The sequence below is a fragment of the Homo sapiens genome, chromosome 18 (genome assembly GCF_000001405.40).
Source record: "Homo sapiens chromosome 18, GRCh38.p14 Primary Assembly".
NCBI classification, from domain to species: domain Eukaryota; kingdom Metazoa; phylum Chordata; class Mammalia; order Primates; family Hominidae; genus Homo; species Homo sapiens.
In genome coordinates, this window is record NC_000018.10 from 47,201,853 (window position 1) to 47,224,072 (window position 22,220).

General features: G+C 38.6%; 1 protein-coding gene across 2 annotated transcripts in view; it reads right to left on the reverse strand.

Annotated features, from left to right (window-relative positions):
* Positions 1 to 4,316: 4,316 nt before the first annotated feature.
* SKOR2 (SKI family transcriptional corepressor 2) overlaps positions 4,317 to 22,220 on the reverse strand; it is a 45,492-nt gene continuing 27,588 nt past the window's right edge. For both annotated transcript variants that reach the window (NM_001278063.4, XM_047437757.1), the window contains 3 exons: positions 18,091 to 18,158; positions 10,234 to 10,299; positions 4,317 to 5,040 (listed from right to left, as the gene is read on the reverse strand). In NM_001278063.4, coding sequence (NP_001264992.1) covers positions 10,237 to 10,299; positions 18,091 to 18,158 — 131 coding nt within the window. In that variant the 3' untranslated portion in view covers positions 4,317 to 5,040; positions 10,234 to 10,236. The remainder of the gene's footprint in view (positions 5,041 to 10,233; positions 10,300 to 18,090; positions 18,159 to 22,220) is intronic.

A 22,220-nucleotide genomic window follows, 5' to 3' on the forward strand; every position in this document is an offset into this window, starting at 1 on the left:
TTGTTTACTTTAGGTAACTTTATTTTTTCTAAATTATATGTATATTCATCTTGGTATGGAAATAAGTGGCCATCTGCAGAGAAGTCTTGTCAGCTCTCAGTGTTTTTCAGCACCTTTCTTAGCTCAAAACCAGCCCCCTTCTCATCCCTCTTCCTAAAGCTCCAACACTGCTTCAGGTCCCAAATCAAGACTGGAGTCATGCTACGTTTAGAAAGACTTTGCTTTTTTTCCTCCCAGTCCTGTGTGGTAGTTACAGGCTCAAATCTGGAAGTCCCAGAGCCCTCTCCTGGGTTCCCAAGCTTACCTTGCTGCCCCTCTGAGTGGGAGAGCCAATGCCCACATGGGCTCCTGAGCCAAAGAGCTGTCTGCCCATCATGTCTTTGAGTCTAGGACTCGGTTTGCTTCTTGCCACCTATTTATTCTCAATGGTGTGTTTCCCCAAGGACAGAACCTGCCCGTAAGTGAAATGTGAGTGGCAGGGCCCTGTATCATGGATGATGGTGATTGACAACCTCCTACTTTTGAACTTGCCTGTGCTGCTGAGATCTATTCCCATGTTGGGGTCTGGCTACATACCTGCTCACATCTTTCTTTGTGTCATATGAGAACCTATGAGGCCTTTTGGACAGTTTACTTTTCTAGTCCGTCTCCTATCCTACCCTGGAAAGCCAGCCAAGTTCAGGTTCATCCCCTTTCCGTATCTTCACCTGCGTATACTGCAATGGGAGATATCAGAGATGTTACACAGTTGGCTTAGTGTGATGGTGAGGTCAAGAAATAGACAAGAATAGCTTGCCATGGCAGTAAGAAGAACTGGATTTAGGGTTGACTCTGCAACTAGTTAGCCTCCATATCAAATACCCTTAGCTAAATCAAAGGGCCAATGAGCTCATAAAATGAAATAAACAGCATAAATATGCATTGGAAAGTTGTCACATAAATAAGAAATCATGCAATTGTTGGCTGATGGGGGCCCTCAAATAGAGCAAAAGGTTTTATAATCAGAGTTAATAGAAAATCTAAAGTAATGTGGTTAAATAAGATAGAACCTCATTTTCTTCCAACATAAAATAAATTTGGAAATGGGCAGTCTGGAGTTGGAGTGGTGGTTCAGTAGTTGCCAAGGACCCTGGCTTTTATTATTTTTTTTATGCCATAGTATTAACAGTATATGGTTTTCATCTTCAAAATCACCTCATGGCCTGAGATGGCTGCTGGGCCTCCATCCATCTTACAGACATCAGAAAAGAGAGAAAAGGAAAGGAAAAAAATAAATATTTAAGTCAAAGCTCTTTTGAAGCTACCTTTCTGAAAGTTCCACATGTTTCTACCTGCATCCCATTGGCCAGGATATAGTCACATGGCCATGTCTAACTGCAAGTAAACCTGGAGAAGGTAATCTTTCAATTAGGTGTATTACCACCTGAGAATGAGTATTACAGGATGGCAACTAGCATTTGCCACATTATGATCATTTGAAATCAGATGAGAAGTCAACCTTTGAGAGAGCTTAAATCGATAACAGTGAACTGATTTGCTTCTGTGATTGGCTCAAATAAAATAAAGGAGATAGAATCACTCATTTAACAAAACTGTTTTGTGCTGCTGCTACCTGCCAGGGACTATGCTAAGCACTAGGGAGAGGGTAGTGAGCTGAAACAAACATCTTCTGTCCTCCTAAAGTTTACAGTACACATCTCCCCCACAAGAGTCTGTTATTACAAACATGGTTTGGGTTGCCTATAAGGAATCTTGTAAGATGGTCAGACTTTGTGTGCTCAACTCTGTAGAGAGAGACAAAGGCCCTCTGCCCGTAGCATGGAGAGTGCTGGGAGTTAAATGACAGTGGTTACACATCCTTACCACTCAGACAGTGTTCCTTTTCTCTAACCTCTCTCACTGCTGACCACCCCAACACCGTCTTAACTCTTAACTCTTAAATGAAAGAGCTCCTATCAGTTTGATCATATCCCCTGTAGCTAGGAGAGAGTTCTCTCTATTTCCCACAGAGCAGAGGCCACACTCATTGTTCAATCTAAGGAAATTGGGATGTGATGTCCCTCTCTCCTTGCCTGTGGCAAACAGACAAGCAATTACTCAGGCATTCTGAGGATGGAAAGCATCAGTCTGAAATGTCTGGTCTGCCCCAACAGGAAATACTTTATTGTTCGGGCCTGGATTTTTGCTTTGATTTGCTGATGCTTTTTCTGATTTTATAATTTAATTTGGAATTAAAATAGAGAATTGTATTTGCATTGCCTGCATGCTTTATTAGCTAGTATTTGGATTGACCTTGGAATTTTGACATGATAAAACAAAGAAAAGAGCACAGCATTTTTTTTCTGCTGTCATTTTGTACACCAAGAATTTTTACATGTCTTTCTGAGGAGTAGCTTTATTTTTAGCCCCATGCAGCACTTGAGATGGATGTCCTGTCTGTTTCCACAAGGCAGCTCAGATAACACAATTATATCCAGTTTTAGGGAAGAATTCTTTTGCTCCAACTTAAAAGCAATAAACATTACTAGAACAGGAAAAAGATGTTCACTCTTCTTAATGAGAAAACACATGGGGTAAATGACATGTTTCCACATCACATATGTGATTTCCTTGACTCTTTTTCTCTGAAGCTTTGGGTTTTTGGCGTGTAGCTTTATGGTTACTCGGAGGATTGTTAGGCTCTAGTGCTTGTAATGAATGGAGACTCTAAGGCATGGGAGTAAGGTCAACAGGAGTCCCCTGGCACTCAGAGACATGTATAGCTGGGCTTCTTTGGAATCTGGAATTTAGGTGGAGAACTGGAAGGCACCAATGCAGTTTTAACATTCTTCACTTGATCTTAGCCAAAAGGCCGAGAAGCGATAGTTTTAACATTCTTAGCAGCAGAGGCAAATGGTTTTCTGTACTGAACTTGGCCATGAACTCAATGCAGAGTTATGCCATGGTTAATATGTCCAGAGTGCTGCAGACATACTGGTCAAGTTATTGGGTTATCTCTCTTTTGCTACAAGATCATTTGCTGATATTTTACCACTAATAACTCATAGATATTTAAAGTTGCAATTGGAAAGGAAAGAATGACATTTCAGGCCGGTTTACACTGCCAGTTGATGCAGCTGCAGGACAAAGACCTTAAATTTATCTGTAAATCTGTTATTCTCCCTCCAAACTCCTGGGCCAAGCTGCTCTTGCTCTGAGAAGCTATCTGGTCCTAGAGTTTGCATTGGATTCTATAGAAAATGACCTCTGCTGTCCCCTGGTGGCTAGTCATGAAGCCAGGTTTGTGACCTCCCAGATGATTTTCTGCCACCTCTGATATCCTTGGCTTAAAGTACAAAGCTAAGAGCCACAGGGCTTCCATCCCTTTGTGAAATTTCATGCTTATATCGGAGAAAATTCTCCACTTACCTGACTGCTCAAATTACACACCTAGGTACAATTACCAGTTTTAGAAACATGTATCATGTCCAAAGGACTGTGTGAGACTCATACCTGCACCCAGGCCCCTCCTGGAAGAACAGCTCAAAGAGAACATTTTTTGTCACAGCATCTTCATATTAGTTTCTGCTAGTGGTCACTGAGAACCTGTTTCCAGACTCTGGGACTTGGTTTACATTCCTTCTCGAATGCAGCTTCTCATCCTTCATAGGCTAGGAAGATCACAAATGAGTATCCCTCCTTTGGTTTTTTATTGTCACAGCCAAGATAAGAGCATTTATCTCAAGGGTAAGTTGTGAAGCTTTTTGGGATAGTTCATGGTAATAAAGCTGGTGGGGAAAAAGTATTAAATCTCATGGCGATGCATCTGAAGGCTGTTTTGAAATCTGTTGAGGGATGCCAATGGTGAGATGTTTTTTCAGTTAGGATGGGCTTTGGCAACCTCAGGTTGGGAGGTCATCCATGGTGGACTTCTGTGCAACCCACATTACCTTAGAAATCTTGGCTGCAAAGTGTTCACTATTTAACTCTCTCATCTGAAAAGCAGAATTTGGGGCATAATATGATCTTGTGGACTTGGATTTAACATCACAGTAAGTAGGAAGGCCTACGATGGGCTCTATCAGCAACACTACTGGAAGACCTAGCAGGAATTTAGAACATTCCTTTACCTATACAAAGATCCTAAAACAATGGAGGAGTTGTCCAGATGCTGACAATGACCAAACGCTGGGCTAGCCTTTAATAATCATTTTTGAAGGAATTCTGTTTTCAAAAATAATTTATTCAAATATTTTTATACCAAAAAAATTTTAAAAGTATGAATTTCTCTTAGTTGTCCTCAAGCAAATGTGCATTTAACTACATGAACACAACCATTACTTCATAGTTTTTTTATTATAGACTTTTTTATCCACATGAATGTTAAAGAAACTACAACAGAGTTAAATGCCATTTTTGATAACATGATTATATTCTTAATTACACTCAATATTAAACTGTAAAATATTTCCAAAGGAATACAATCCTCATTCATACAGCAGGCAAAGTACAGAGAGGAAGGGGCCACATGTAAGTCTGTCCAGTTTGCTATGAAAAGCAGGTTTGTACGGCTGGTGCCTTCCCATCCATTGAAACGCTATCCCCACTCCTAGGATGGGTCTTGTGTTTTCTTCCACCAAGAATCACTTCTTCAAAAAGAGAAGACAGTTTTGTAGAGTTGCTTTCTCCATGTGTGCAGGACTGAGACTGCCTGGGACCATCCGCTGATTTCCCATCCCAACTGGCTAACAGCACTTCCCATGCTCTGGGTTCAGCTATCCTTTAAAAACACAAAGACTCGAACTTTGGTTCCACCAAAAGATGCAACAAGCATTGACTGCTCTGGTTGGCTCCCCCCTCCCCCCACTAATGAATGGCTGCTACAGTCTATTTTACATGGTTGTCCATGCTGTTTTGAGGTCACTTGTCCTTAGGTTCTCCTGAACCTGATTTTGTATTTAATTCCCAAGCCCTTTCGATCTGCAGTCTTTAACACGGGTCAGAAGTGCTCCATGGCAGGCTGTATCTTACAAGAGAACAAGAGTAAGTAGTTCTGTGCACCTGGGATAAGACAAAAGCATAGAATGACAAGCTGAACCTAATATAATCAGATAATTTTAAAACATTTAAAGTAATATTTAGTATACCCTCCTTAGGAGAAGACATTTTGTCTGCTACCCTAGGTTATATATCTCTGATGATATCAAGCCAAACCAGAAATACTAAACAAGAGTGTGCTGGTTTGCTGTGTGCTTTTCACAGTAAAGCCATTTAGATGGGTTTAGAAGCTGGGGTTTGTTGTAGGGCAAAGACAAAAGCAGCCTGCAGTGAAAGGGGCAGACAGAATTTCATGCTCTGGTGCTCTGCTGGTTTTGATTGGATGGCCCAAGTTACGTTTATTTTTCTTGTTCTGTGGTGTCAGGGCAACATAGAAGTATGAGTGGAGGTTTTGTGATTCAAAATCAATAAAATGATTGGATTGGTTATTAACTGCATATTTATAACTGATAATACAAGATGTGAATTAGGCCATGATTTTAGGTGACAAACCAGAGGAGAGCAGACAATGTATGGAATGCAGAGCCAGCCCCAGCCTGGCTCAAATCCTGCCACTTCCTAGCAGTGAGACCACAGGCAACTTACTCATCTCTTGTCTCTTTAGCCTTCTCAGCTGTAGGGGGGTGAAAGCAGTAATACTTACCTCAGTGTGTTGGTCCAAAGATTAAATAAGATAATCGACATAAAGTCCTTAGAACAGTGGGGGCACACCATTATTCTCTAAGGAGATTCTTAAAAGAACCTCTTATGTCTGACTAAAGATGAGAGAAATGAATGTACCACTCCCCCTCTTTATCTTTGATCTATACAAAAAGGAAGACACAGAATGTTCCTTTAAAATCCAATATCCTTTTTTAAAAGACTCTTGTTGTTACTTTCGTAGTAATTATTCCAGAAGTGAAACAAAAATGAGTTTACCAAAGAGGTAGATATAGTTAAAATACCAACAAAAAATAATATTCCAGACTCTCCAGAAAGATGCAACGTAGCAATTAGTGATTAAGAAAATGCAGACATAAGGCAAAAATAGGTGGGTCATGCCCTTGGGTGTTACATGTGGTCTTGGGCTGGCTTTCATGAACGTGGCCCCTTTCTGGGAAAAAAGAGAGAATATAGCAGAAAATTGGCACACAAAAGTGACAGCCAAAATTTTAGAGCTAGTAGAGATTTTGATCAGGTTTGGCCATCCACATTTTATAGATAAGAGTGAGACTCAAAGAGATTAAATGATGTTACTCAAGATAACACAGAGAAATGGCATCAGATCTGGCACCCAGTCTCCCTCACCACCAGCTAAGGACCCAAGGAAGACAGGGAGAAGGCTTTAGGGTCAAATAGACCTGGATTGAATCCTGTATCTGTCACTTAAGAGCTATGTGACTCCTCTGAGCCTCAGTTTCTAAGTATGAAATGGAGGTAATAACAGGATCTGCCTTACAGCATTGTAAAGATAACACAGTAAGTATTTAGCCAGTATCTGGCATAGTTAGTGCTCAATAAATGATCATTACTATCATTTCCAGTTTGGCCAATGAGTTTCTGCATGACTATGAATGAGACATTTCCCTGATTCGCTTCCTACTTATGTAAAATGGTTTACTTCTTGTCTGTGAAAGGTGTGGGTGTTTCAACCAGTTACATCAATGATAACTGCAAAATGTTTAAATGTGTTTGGGAGAAAATGAATGTAAAGTAATAATTAAATTAGTGTTAACATCATACTATTTTTATTTGGGGACAGATTTCACACAGATTACACTGGGTTATCTGTGCAGGAAGTGCGTCACAGAAATAACTAGATGTAAGGAAGGCCGTCGGGAATAATTCTGGTGTTAAAAATGGGCCCAGGTGAAAGGATAATGCCTGCAACATTTTGAAGTATTTTTCAAATCCTTTCCATTGTACTCATGAGCTTATAATGAGACAAATACGAAGAGCGGTACAATGTCTAATCTAATAGGGCTTGTTTTAGGAGGTAGTTTGAAGGTAAATAAAATAAACTACACTTTAACAGCTGGTAGCTAAACAAATAGAATTCATTGTCCCAATGGGGACTATGCTTAGGTTGAAGAAAGGTGCAGATAAATCCAGGGTAATGGATCTTTATGGCGTTATCAAGGGAAAGCTAAGAGTATTCAGTGTATATGCCTAAATTTTGAGGTTGATATCGTTAAGAACAACAATTTTGCTCTTAAAGTATCTTGGCCTGCATGGATCTTTATTTTGACGCAACGTGGAATTTCTTATGTTCTAATGTAGGACAAAAAAAAAATGTGCAGATCAGTGATATGTGGCAGTACTCGCTCAGCTTATTAAGTGGATTGCCTGTGGTTTTGAAAAGCTTCCTCCTCTTAATAGTCATATTGGAATCCACTGGGTGGCAAGAACACTGCATACTACCTTAAGGGTCACTCTTGCATAAGACATTAATGCATCAGTACCTAATTTGGAAACCTGTGGTCACTCTGCAAGACAGAATGTGTCTCTCTCCCTTGGTGTAATGATTTTTATTTTGTAATCTCTCTTGGGGTAACTCCTTGCAGACTTGGCATGTTGAGAATCAGAGACTGCCTCTAACAATACAGTCATGATTCTCTGCTTGGCTGATTTAGCTAAGCATTTAAGTAACCACTAATCTTCTGAAAGCACCAGGGTCTACTTAGAGAAATCCCTGTTGTCTGCAAGGATGGAAACAAAATCAGCATGGAGGAAGCATTAGTTACTAAACACAAATCAATCTTTTTTTTTCTTTTTCCCACCTAGCCATATGCTAGGTCACTATCAGAGGTGTAGTTTCTGGGCAGTGAGTCTTAATTTGTAGGTGCAAAATGGGCTCAGGTCTGACAAACAGGGAAGATGGGTTGGGGAAGTGTAAGGAGTAAAAAGAGAGTTTACTGAAGCTCTTAAGTATAAATCAAACCACATTCTAAGGCTGGGCATGGCTGTAATCTCAGCACTTTGGGAGACCAAAGCAGGAGGACTGCTTGAACCCAGGAGCTTGAGACCAGCCTGCGAAATATAGGGAGACCTTGTCTTTACAAAATAAAAAAAATTTGCTGGGCATGGTGGCGTGCACGCCTATAATGCTGAGATAGGAGGATGGCTCGAGCCAGGGCAGTCAAGGCTGTATTGAGCTGTGATCGCATCACTGCAACTCCAGTCTGGGTAGAAGAGTGAGACCCTGTCTCAAAACAAAACAACAAAAACCCCATTCTAATGTATGAATCTCACAAGTGCTGAGTAAAACAAGCCAGACACAAGAGAATGTTCTATGCAACGTCATTTACATAAAGTTCAAAAACAGACAAAGTTTTTACCATCGTTGGGGGTAGGGAGTGGGAGAAGCTGGGCAAGAGCACAAGGTTGTTATCAGGGGCTGGAAAGCTAAGTGAGCTCATCGTGAACATTTACTGAGTTTCCTTTTTGTTTTTGTTTTCATTGCGTGTTTGTGTATGTGTGTGTTTGTGTGTGTCCCTGAGTGAGTGCAATTCACTGAGTTTTGATTCGTAAACCTCATGATTTGTATGACTTTATGATTTATAAACTTTGAATAAGAAGGTTATTTTTAAAAACATCCTAATATTTTCTCTTGAAAGAAAATTAGTTTGACATTTTCAACCATTATACATATGGAGTTTATCAGAATTAATTTGGACCATTCTTGCCTTAATTATCTTGATATTCTAAGTTAAAATTCAGTGGAATCTAAATGTTCTAAAATTTTCATTTCACACTGCTCGTGCAAACCTGGTCTACTACACTGAGAAAGAAATTGCCCAAAGTCAACTTCAGACTTAATAAAAATACTTTAATATATAGAACAGAGCCAACCTCACGGGTGCATTTGTGAATAACTTCATAGAGATGGAAACAGAATGACTTACTCTCTGAGCACCTCTGTTGCAGTATCATCTGCTCACCAAGAACAATAAGTCCATGCATTAGGAAGAGGCAGGCACTAGATCCAAAATCAGGGCCCCCAGAATCTCTTCTTGGCTTTGCAACATGAACATAAAATGTCACATCTCTTATCTGTAAACCTCAGTTCCCCATGTGTAAAATTAAGGGAAAGCACATGGATGAAAGACTGTTTTGTAAAGGGTTTTAAGCACCTGATGAAATGTAACATAATTATTATTATTTAAGACAAATACTGAAGACTACTACTAATAAAGATAATGGCAAGAAAAGTCATTTGTACCTGATAGAGGAAATTTGTGATAGGCAGAAGAGAGGTGAAGGAACAAAAGGAACCATGAGCCTGCACAGTTCTTTTTGCCAACAAATTCTATTGAGTTGAAAATATGTTCCAGAGGGGAGGAGTGGGAAGAGTCATTCTGATGGGAATGGATCAAACTGATAAATGGCTGCGGTCCTAGCTGGCCATGAGCACTAACAAATGCTACCTTTTGCGTCTGTGGTTTTTTCCCCTGATTTAGCAATCCTAGTTGTTAGGTCATCCCAATATATTGTTACAGAAACAATGTCCTAGTTTTTGCATTCCCACAATTCTAATAATTACATGTGTCTTCTTCCATGGGCTGAAAAAGTTTCTTTTCAAATACTTCGGTATGTTCTGAATATAGCCATTGAATTTTCACTGTCTGCTTTTCCTTAAGAGTCCAAAATAATTGTCTTTTCAATTTTCTTTTAAACTGATATGACCTTGAATCTGGCTTCAGCTGTAGAGAAACTATTATTGGTTTAGGGAAAAGATTAGTTACTATTCCTAGAGCAGAAGGTCTCAAAGGTCTGTATTGTCCCCAGTTGTTCATATTACCACCTGCAGTAACTCTCTGAAAGTCAGATTTCAGGCAGGCTTTTTGGAAGCGAAGGAGAGACAGAGATGAGACACCCTGAGGATGACTGCTGACACTTTGGTTTCCTTGGGGCAGTAACTGGGGTGTCAGAACCATAAAGAGCAGAAAATCTTAAAACGGAAAGAAGATCACTTTTGCAGACTGAATACAGAATTTTTAGTTATAGGAATTTTCCATGGAATTTATAAGAAGTACTTGGTCATTCATTTAGGAAGTCCCATCCCCAGACATAATGAAGTTTATTGGTATATTGACTCAAACACAGGATGCAACTTTACCAATCCCTTGGGCTATTTCAAACACATCAATAAAGAATATGTTCAAGCACACAACAATACAGAGAGTTAAGAAAATCTCTTTCCTCTGGTGATCTTACCTTTTAGCTTTTGCTGAGATGGGCGCCAAGCTTTTCTTTCCTGATCAAACTTGCTGCATAGGGGATCTGTAAGACAAAAACAAGCAACACCATCCAGGTAAGCTAGATTTGGAGACAGATATGTAATGGAGACCCTTCATCATGCCTAACAATTTGAATGCCAATAGATCCTCCCTGAAAAAAAGAGGTCTCCATCTGCTCAGCGGTATGAGGTTTCTGGGGTATAGCATCCTTAAGGCCTGTTAACAAGTACAGTGAGGACAGAACAGGTGATCACACTGGATTGCTGCTACAGCTAGTCCTTGAGGTTAACATGTGATGTTTCACTTTTTAAAGTTTTTAAAAATTTGCATTTAATAATATGGTATCATATTTATTTAGGTACAAAAACTGAGTTACGATGTTCTAATGTATGTTCAAGGTCATAAAACAAGAACATGCTTACAAACTAGTTTAATGTAATTGTTTAGTTTATTAGAATGATTTCTTTATAACAGACGTAATTTCTTTATAACATATGCTATCCTTATAAATCACAAATAAGACTAACTAAACCCAAACTATTACTCTGATTAGATTCCCAATAATTGATAAGATGCATCAGAGGCTGGGTGCGGTGGCTCACACCTGTAATCTCAGCACTTTGGGAGGCTGAGGTGGGAGGATCACTTGAGCCCAGGAGTTCAAGACCAGCTTGGGCAACATAGGAAGGCTCTGTCTCTATAAAAAATTAAAAAATTAGCCAAGTGTGGTGGCACACACCTGCTACTTGGGAGGCTGAGGTGGGAAGAACGCTTGAGCCCAGAAGGTCAAGGCGGCAGTGAGCCATGATTGCACCACTGCACTCCAGCCTGGGTGACAGAGCAAGACCCCTTCTCTCTCTTACACACACAAAGAAGCATCAGAAATAACTGCACTGAATGGAAAATATGACCTTGAGAATTCTACCTTGATAAACTTGAAAAGTACTTTCGAATACTGGGGTTTTGAATAAAAGCTGATCACAGTTGGTATGCTACTTTTCATTATAAAATTCCAATGGTTGAAATTGGACTCAAGGTATTATTTAGATTTGCCTCTCCACTAACCCCCGTTAAGGTGCTCTATCCTTATGTTACCGACCTTCATCATTACAAGGCTAAACTCAGGGCTCTAAAGACTTTATTCTACATGTAAAGAATGAATATTCACCCTTCTAGAATGTAATGTGAAATATGGCTGTTAAGTAAAAGCAGTGAGGGAAATAAAATCACTTTCATTCAATTAGGCAATGATATATATATATTTATTTATATATATATTTATATATATCATATAAATATTATATATATATAATATTTCCCACATTACCAGTATACTGTATGTTTTCCTCTCATGATCCACAGTCCACACATGTGAACCTTTATTATTAATGAGAAAGAGTTATAAATCTACAATGATGCTAGTGGCTAAAAAGAGTTGGACCATTTTACTGTAATAATTAGTCAGCTGAATCAAACAGTCTTTTTAACAGGAAAAAAAAGGACAATAATAAAATAATCATCTCGCTATTTTGATATATAACCACAACATAAACATGTCAGATAGGCATATATCTGATAAAGGGCATAGATAGCATCACTGAAATTAATGATTCATATAGTAACATTAAAAGTTCAGTGTCCTAATCTCGTATTTTAGGATGCAGGCTGAGATCAGCTAGATAACTATGACAAGGACAGTTACACAGGGACCTACTCCAGTTACCTCTTCTTTTCACTCTAGGTTATGCTATAGCTGCTATTAACACAGACCCCTTTGAATATTGGTTTTCCATTATGGTATATGCTGCAATGTGCCAAAGCATATGGATCACTTCTCTAGATGCATGACATGACAGAGCCTGGAATGGAATTCCATTATTTAGGATAACAAACAATGTAAACTTTTGGGCACAAGGAGTTCCAATAAAATGGTTTGTGCCACTCTCACATTTAAGAAGAGCCCTCAACATCAACATTAGACACCACAAAGGTTTAGCCAGTGTCTGTTCTATGGCAGCCACCAGGAGAGATAAGTTAAATCACCATGGGCCATCTCATTAGAGGAGTAAACTGCTCAACCTAATCCAAAGAAACCCGCCTGAAGGATTCTACTTTCAGAGCTAAGTCAAAATGGCTTCCTCTTTCTTTTTTTCAGAAGCAATAACACAGCATTTCATTAAGGTAGAAAGTTGAGAAGGAAAAGAAAAGCAAAAAAAGGACTCAAGAAAAAAAGGACATTTCCAAATAAGCATATTTGAGTCCCAAGGGTCCAGATTGGAATTTAAACTGGGGTGAAGAATTATCCCTACTAGAATGTTGATTTTTTCATTTATTTCATTAAAACAAAATGAAATAAAAGCCAAAAAACAACAAAGATAAAAAGCAAAAAGTAATGAGCTGAGAATCATGTATTTTTCCATTCTAAGTCCTAAATCATGAATGGTAAATAAAGATTATAGTAGCATGGCCAGTTGTTCCTGGAAACAACATTATTTCACTGATTCCAGGATGCACTTTATCCCCTCACATTTTAACATTTCTGAAATCAGATGTATTAGAATTACAGTTGAAACCTTTTACTTTATGATTCATCAAATAGTGGTGCCTCTTACAATTGATGGTGCTTCAGATTCCATAAAATGCAACATTGGACTTGCAGACACTTCAGCAAATTCTCCCCAACTTGGAAGCTCAGGATTTTAGAGGCTCAATTTAAACTAGTTAGTTATTCCATGCAAATCTCCTACAATAGGACTTACAAAAGCTTTCTTTTCATCTTGACCAGCTTAGAAATTACCGAGATTGGCATGGAGAAAAAAAATTCAAAGTATTATGTAACTTCTAAATTACCTACTTGGTTATAGTAGATCAAAAGTACTGGAGTTTAAAAAAAAAAAGTGACTTCCTAGTTTGTGCCAAAAGAGTTAACCTGAGCTCACACATTCAGGTCAGTCAACATCTCAAAAAGAGAAAGATGAGAAGAAAAATGCTACATAACTAAGGAACAACTGATTGCACTGTCAAGGTGCACAACAGTAGATCAATAATTGGAAATGGACACACAGTAGCCAAAGTCTGTCTACTGCTAGAGAATTTTAAGGCAGCCTCCACAGAAGTTCAGGCTTGCATTAAGTCTTCTGACTTGCAGGGATCTCCTTTTGATGCATATTTAGACACAGAACCAAAATCTTCTAGTGGCCCAGGGATCTTCTTCTAAAAATATAATGCAAAATAGTAATGGTCCTATCTACCTTTTTTTAAAAAAAAGATGTAAGACATATTTTTACAAACTCTGTAGGTTATACAGTAGAAATCTGGGCAAGTTCCCATCCTAATGAATATTGGAGAACCTCCAAGAAAAGACCATCTTACTGAAGAGCTGTGTCCTTGCCAAAGAACAAGCACTCCTCCAGCAAAGATAACGACCTCTCACTCCTTTCCCTGTGACGATGCACTGCACTCCCATCATCAGGAAGTTGTAAACTGCTGTTTTACAAGTCCACCGTGAACAAAACATTAGTCCTTAATCTATTGATTGAACATTATTTTAATTGAGGCTTTTAATGAAGAACTTTGAGACCAATTCCCCCTAGCTGCGTGTGACTGCAGAATTCTGGAAAAACAGCAGAGGGCACTTAAAGACTAGCACATTTTCCCCATCAACACGCCTTGTGGTAGTGATCTGACAAGTTCAAAGGATGTGAATCTGGGTCTAGCCATTTATCATGTGCTCTGTGTTGCAGCATCACAACGTTCTCCAAGAACTATGACTAAAAAATAAAAAAGCATGTCTTCAACAAATCTACAGTAGTAGCTTATACACAGATGCACTTGCTTATAAAATTATTGCCAAATTCATAATAAAAAAAGGTTATCAAGGCATCATCACAGTCTCAGCTCATGTTGTAAGTTTTTATATTCCAGTCCTTGGAAAAACTTTAATCAAAAAGCTATTCACTGAATAAAAATCTTCAGTCAGCTTCTTCAGCCTAAGGACTGTTAAGTTTTGCTTTTAAAATTGAATAAACTTGTCCTAGAATCATAATTCATTTGTGAATGAGAAATCCTTTACCCTTTATTACACTAAACATTTACATTTTTATAAACATGCTAAATTAAAAAACTTTTGTATTGGTTCATAGGGATAGAAAAATATTTCTTTGTTTTGCATAACTAAATGTGGCTTAGTAATACAAATGCTATAAGCACTTAAAAACCCAGGGCAGGGGTGGGGGACTTTAACACAAACCACGTTAAATACTAAAATACCCAAATTTTGAGCTATTTTTTAAAAAGGTAGCTTATACCATGTATAAATGTTAACTAATTCCTCACTGTTTTAAATCTCACATTGAGATAAGTACACATTCATTTATAAAGACACAAAGAGAGTCAATCATTTGACTCTGTAGTCATCACAACTTTACATTTAACACGGGAAAAAGAAGCAATGGTGCAGAAATGACAGTCAACAGAGAATCTAAAAATGCAGGAGCCAAAGAAATTCATAAGTTTTCTTTCTATGGCAATGATACCCAAGACGCTTTCAATATAAGTTTTTTGAATAGAAACACTTTTTAACAACATAGGATAAATGCATTGTGGGTCTTTGGGAATCATTACAAAATATGATGGTTTTAATATATTTGAATTCTCCTTGACTGCAAGATAGAGTGGGCTTTTATGTCATCTCAAGAAAAAAAAAGCCTGTTTTGTAATATATGCTCTGTAAACTTTAAATATAAAATAATTTGAGTGAACTGTTCTGTTTTCAGGAAGCAAAGCATGCAACCATATTGACTGATGAATAAGATCATCCAACTAAAATATTCAGAAAGCCAGTAATTGTGATATTTTACAATTTCTTGATAATCTTTAGATAGAATTTTCTAAAGACATTTTCCCCCAGGTACTTTGACAGATACATCAGGCTGAATAAGGAATTAGACACATTTCTGTTCAAGTAACACTGAATCTGCAGCCTCAATTCTAAAGCAGATAGTACCATGTAAACATAGGTCCTTCCTGCACAAAAATATATCTAGCCGGATGGGCATGGTGGCTTACACCTGTAATAGTTCCACTATTGTAGGTACTACTTTGAGAAGGGCCACACCATTAAATTGATTACTCACATTGGCATAGCATATTATGGCTTGTATGTACATTTCATGTTTATTACTCACTTGCACCTTATAATATTCCTACCAAGGCCCTAGGTTAAACCTTATAGCCGTTCATTTTGGTTGAGGAACTGACACTTAATGAACTATATGGGATGGGTCTCAATCCCAAGTTACAGATGTTAAAGCTCATCTCTGTTAGGTGCAGACAGAGCAGTAATACAGAAGCTCCCCAAAATTTGCTAGTATTCCTTCCTTTAGGAGTTGTGGTAGTAGTATTTGCTTAGTGTAAAATAACATTTGAGGAAACCAGGACCAAGCCAGGGAAATTTGGAAAAGAATTAAGAGGACTGCTATATGAGAGTATCAGAGCTGGGTCAGGATCATCATGGGTGGTGATTCATTCAACAAATGTTTATGAACAGCTGTTTGATGCTGCACACTGTGATAGGTACTGGAGTCAGCAGGAAAACCTTGGGCATCTAATGGTAGGGGACACACAAAAAGGGGAAGAAGCAGGAGGGACAAATCATGTCGATTTCACCAATTTTCATGTTGTTACCCTGGAAGCAGCTTTGTGTATTTCAGGAATTATATGATACCTACAAGGGCAGGAGGGTGGGGGTGGGAAATTCAAGCTTTTCCCAAATTATTTAATTTGCTACCAGGAATAGTTTACTATCTATAGGAATGTGAATTAACAACATTTGTCTAGATAGATGAATACATGTTGTAAAATATTTTATAAGACAGCATAATAAAATGATTTGGTAATACCAGTTTTAATCTTCCATGTACCAAATATCTCAAAAGACATGAGATATTTTTTTGTTCTATCAATCCTATCTGCTTAGTACATGGAGACAATATAATTTCCTCTTTTACTAAAGAAACCAAATGCCAAAGAAAATTAAGACATTAAGGTCACATAACTGGCCTTAAATAAGGGCACTAAAAGAAATACTGTTTCCTTTCCTAATGCCCATTTTGCTATACTCACCACCACCCCCTGAAATCACAATTTTTTTGTTGCAAGTGTGGCAATTATTTTCTTTTGTTTTAAGAGTATGAAAATGGGCTGGGTGCAGTGGTTCATGCCTGTAATCCCAGCACTTTAGGAGGCCCAGGTGGGAGGATTGCTGGAGGCCAGAAGTTTAAGACCACCCTGGGCAACACAGAAAGACCCTGTCTCAACAAAAAATTAAAAAATTAATCGGGTGTGGTGGTGCACACCTGCAGTTCCAGCTATTTGGGAGGCTGAGGTGGGAGGATTGCTTGAGCCCAGGAGTTGGAGGCTGCAGTGAGCTATGATTGTACCACTGCACTCCAGCCTGTGCAGCAGAGTGAGACCCTGTCTCAAAAAAAAAAAAAAAAAAAAATCTGAAAATGATGTCCTTTGTAAAATAAGGAAGGTGTTAAAATTTTATATTCCCCTACATCGAATCTTTTATTTAAATTTTTCCTTTAAACAGAGAATACAATAAATACATTCACAGCAGTAATTATAGCTCTTATTATCAAGGAATCAAAAGCTAAGAATGGGAATTTGTTATTAAATCAATTATGAAAATCCTCTGCTCCCAAGTGAATTCAGGTGCAAACAAAACCAACATGAGAAGAAAATCTTGTTTAAGCAGCATCTTATGTAGTGGTTTTCAGAACTGAGAGTTGTTAACGATCACTTGAGATCAAGGAAAACCAATTGCTGCAAAAATGACCCTTAGGAATCTCCACTAACACTGGCATGATTTCTCCAATGAATGGAAACATTAATAACTATCTTTCTTAAATAATCCTGACAAAGGAACTAGATATCTGGCTCTGTAGACAAGACAGGCACATATGCATGGATCCATGATTAATGGTTGAAAGGTAGCACGGATCAGTACAGAAATGTCAAGAAACCCAAAGTATAATAATTATGCTGAGAATAGCACTAAGGATCAATATGTGTTTTTATCCAGGTGATTAAATATATCTTGAAAATATTGAGCAGAAATAATTTTCTCCATTGTACTCACAAAAATGAGGAGGCTTGGGAGACTCCTTTAAAAGCCCTAATGAATAGTACTAGATGTATCTACATGGGGACAAAGGGCAAGAAATTCAGAAAGCAAACAAAAACCCAAAACAAAACCACTACATTTACTTATCAGACATCTTCCTGTTTTTTTTTTCCATATAAATAGATCTTAGTGAGTGTCCATTTTTAGAAATGATTAGGATAGAGTAATACATTTCATTTGGAAATCATTTGTTTCTTTTCATCATCCTTCAAGTGAATTTAGTTGATTAATTGTGCTCATTAATTGTGTTTTATTGGTAGTGGAGGGCCTGGCTCAAGTGTGGGTAGTGAAAGGAAGAGAGGATGGAAGACAGTTGCCCTTCACTGAGCTCGTAGCATAGCCCAGCACTGTGTTTGGGAAGTTTGCATAATGGAAGAAAATGCAGGTACCTTTGGTTTACCCACAGAGATAATTTACACATCTGTCTATTAACACATGGTAGGTAGTTACATTTAGAGGAAACATACTGCCACATCTGTTTATCCTGTGTCTAAGTAAATCTCTTGGTAATTAGCATCTAAGCCAGCTGAGAGGTAAGTGGACCAAAGGATTTCATGCAAAAACGTGAACAGTTTCATACATATTGGGTAGTCTGAAAACAAACCAATTAAGTTGCATTTATTTTTAAGTAGAAATGCAGCTTACAATTTGTAACTGTTGCACCATTTCTTCTCGGTAGGCTAGCTCCCTTTTCATCTGATCCTGAAAATTATCTGGTAGGAGAGAGAGATAGAGAAAGATTAACTAAAGTGTAAAATCTACTTTTAGTTTAGCTAGTAAAAACATTATTGACAGTCCCATGGACAGCCCCCCTACTTTTAAGTATTTTTTTCATAGGCAAATTATATGCTTGTTTGAAGAATGTTTTCAACACTCTATAATTTAATCAGACTAGACAGTAAATTCTGAGTGTGTCTTATATTTTACAGTATCTCATATTCCATCTAGTATAATCTCTTGCATATGATTACACAGAAATATCCCACACAATCATGTTCTTTAACCTTTGCACACTTGTGCAAATCACAGGTATTGGGAGCTTCCACTGTCTTCAGAAGTCCAGCAAGAGTCAGTAGGGCAGGCCTCAGATAGAGCTGAGCATGGGAAATGCTGCCCCTCCTGCACATAATACCTTCCGGGTAAATAAGATGTGAGTCTGTGAAAAATGCCTGCCTGGCTTCACTGCAGCTCATCTCACTCCTAAGAGAGAATACTTCGGCCTGACTCCCCTGTGCAGCAAACTCTCTCACCCTGGGATCAGCCTTATTTTATGTTCCTGCTTTGTCCTGGTGCCTTTCTACAGACCTTACCTTAATCTGAGAAGAAGAGAACTTTAAGAGATATTGTCATGCAAAATATTTTTGCTATTCTACATATTGACCATATTTATTGCATTAGGGAAAAAATGACTTCCAAATGTACAGTTTAGTGTTACATCTTCTCCACGTGATCCTTTTAAAAGTGTGGACGTGGCTAACTTTGCCTTTTTCTGCACTGAAGGAGAAATGAGCACGATTTCTTATTGAATTTGTGGTTGATAGGGCAGCAGCTTGAGGAAACCAGAAACTTCATCATTATCTTTTCTTCTCCTTTTCCTTTCATCTTCACAGCCAACTGGTGTGTGAGTTCTATGTGTTCCACCATCATATTCTCCCCTCTTTGCCATTGTTACCTCCCACGTGCAGGCACCTCATCCCTGAATCATTTTCCGACTGACCACCTGCCACCAGTCCCTTTCTCTCCAAATACCTTTAATTCCCTGCTTAAAAATCTCCAATGGCTTTCCAACACTTTCAGGATAGTAAATCCTTTACCACTCATGAGACTCTGGGTACTTAGAGATGAAAAGGCTTTGTTCTTTTTATTTTTTTCAACTTCTACCTTTTCATACTATTTGAATTTCTTATCCAACCCCAAACATGTGTTCTAATTAATTTTTTTAAAAAGACCCAATCCCTACTGTCACCTCTGATTTTGATGTCAAAGTCACTGTAATAGAGGGAAGTATGTGGTGCCATGCAAAGATTGAGAGAAGAGCTGTCATTCATTCTGGGAACATTAGAGGGGAGAGCTGCTTGAGCAGACACGTGGAGAACAGCATTCTACATAAAGACATGGAAGGAGGAGAGGGGAACTGCATATGGCTCAGCTGGCTGCAGCCGAGGGCACGGAGGAAATCCCCTGCACCACACCAGCCACCAAACCACTCTCCAGTCCTCAACTATGCATTATACTTCCAGCCTCTGTGCCTTTGCCCCTGCTGTGGTCTTGCCCTTGCAGCAAACAACTGCCTTTTCTTTAAAGTCCAGTCCAGATGCTACCTCCTCCAGGAAGTCTTCTCCAATTCTGCAGCCCCTCCTGCCAGAATTATTTACCCATTTTTTTTTGTACTTCTCCAGCACCCTGTCCATACCTGTATTAATGCATCCATAATACATGCTATGATTAGTTGTTATCCATCTGTCTCCCTGCTAAACAGTTGAGTTCTTAGAGGGCAGGAAGATACGTTTAGACACTTTAAAAATTTTTAAGGCCTACCACAGTGCCTGGCACACGGCAGGGGCTAGCTAATAAACGAGGAGTAAAAACACACAGAATTATCCACCAGCAGGTTGAGATTCTGCCATCTATAGTAACTACCCCACTCTGGAGCCTCAGACCTTTATCTAAAGAAACAAAGGTGTGAAATAATGTGCTCTTTCAGGTGTTTTCTTGCTCTAGCATTTTAAGCTTTGATGACAGGCCGAGTGTGGTGGCTCAAGCCAATAATCCCAGCCCTTTGGGAGGCTGAAGCAGGAAAATTGCTTGAGCCCAGGAGTTTGAGACCAGCCTGGGAAACATGGAAAAACTCTGTCTCTACTAAAAATACAAAAAATTATCTGAGCATGGAGGTGCACAACTGTAGTCCCAGCTACACAGGAGGCTGAGGTAGGAGAATCACCTGGGAAGTCGAGGCTGCAGTGAGCTGAGATTGCACCACTGCACTCCAGTCTGAGTGACAAAGTGAGACTCTGCCTCAAAAAAAAAAAAAAGAAAAAATTTTTGGTGACAAAATAAATTGATTTGATTGGGCTTCATGCACCCACTTGTCTTTCCTGTGCAGGGGAAGTGAGGGAAAGATTTTGATTTACACCAGTAACAATTAGGCGAAAGGTACCATGTGAGGAGCTAGCATCCACCTCACCAGGTCAGGATGCTCTAGAGGTGGGTCTAAGGGTACAGGGCAACAGGGGAACCAGCCCTCCACAAACTGCCCTGGTTCCAACACTTGGTCCTGCGCTGTGGCCCGCAGGCCTCCAGGAAGATCAGTGTGGTTCCAGACACTGGAGCACATGGCAAGCATGGCTCCCTTTGTGAAGAAGAAAACTTTCCTCTGAGCCTCTAGGGATCCAAGATGCCTTTGACCAGGGTGGTAAACTAAGATGAATTAGGAAGGAGGGGCTGCCTGAAGCCGACCAGGCTGGAGCACTTCCCTGGGATCACAGAAGATTCTAATTTTAGAGGAGGGAACAGCTAAGGGCAATTCAGAGTGGAATGATGAAAACTAGTCCTAACTTAACTCATGCTCATTTTTCTATGATAGTACACTTAATATAATTCCTTAAGTTAAAATGAAAAACAAAAAAGAAGCCATTAAAGTATTCGAAATAATGGCAAATTTTTTTTTAAGATTGGAGTGGGGAAGAGCATAAAAGGCAAAAACTGAAAAGGAAAAGACTGGTTGATTTGATCAGACAGAAATTTAAAACTTTGGTATGCCAATAAATTACAAACAGATTAAACTCCCCAAACATAAAACACCATAGTCAACATTTAAAGGTAATTGATACAAACCAAAAAATACTTGCAACATGTCAAAGAATTAACATTTTAGTATAAGAGGGTTTATACAAATCAATAAGAAAATGAACACATCAACAGAAATATGGGGAGAGAATATAAATGGGCATTCACAAAACATATGAAAGGATGCTAGACACATGAAAAATGTTCAACATCACCAGCAATGAAAGAAAAGGAAATAATATGAAATACCAAAATTTCCTCTTAAGTTGGCAAAGATTAAATGAAGAGATGATACATGCTGTTCCAAAGATGGGAGCAGAAATTAGTTGAAACTTTCTGGAAAGCAACTTGAAATTATATGTTAAGACTTTTAAAAAGTTCATACCCTTTAACACAACAACACTTTTAGGAGTTTAACCTAAGGAAATAATAGTGGATACATGCAAAGACTTAGTTACAAGGGTGTCCATTATCTAAAACTTGGACAAACCTTAATGTCCAACATAACAGTATATTTATACACTGCTGTGTAGTAACAGAACGAGGCACATTTTAGCTAAAACAAAAAGGAAGTAAAAAATGTTGTGTATTACATTTCATTTTGTTTTATAAAAGCATTTAACAAGCATTTAAAAAGGCTGAAACTCCAAAATGTTAACATTGGTTATCTCTAGGTGGCAAGATTATGGGTGATTTTTGTTTCCTTTCCTTTTTATTTCTGCATACTTAAAATTTTCCACAACAAGGATGTGTATAGCTTTTGAGATATAAAGATTGTTAATTGGCAAACATACAAAAATCTAAAATTTTTTCTATGTTCTTTTTTTTTTTTTTAAATTTGAGGCAGAGTCTCACTCTGTCGCCCAGGCTGGAGTGCCGTGGCATGATCTCAGCTTGCTACAACCTCTGCCTCCTGGGTTCAAGCGATTCTCCTGCCTCAGCCTCCCGAGTAGCTGGGGTTACAGGCATGCACCACCATGCCTGGCTAC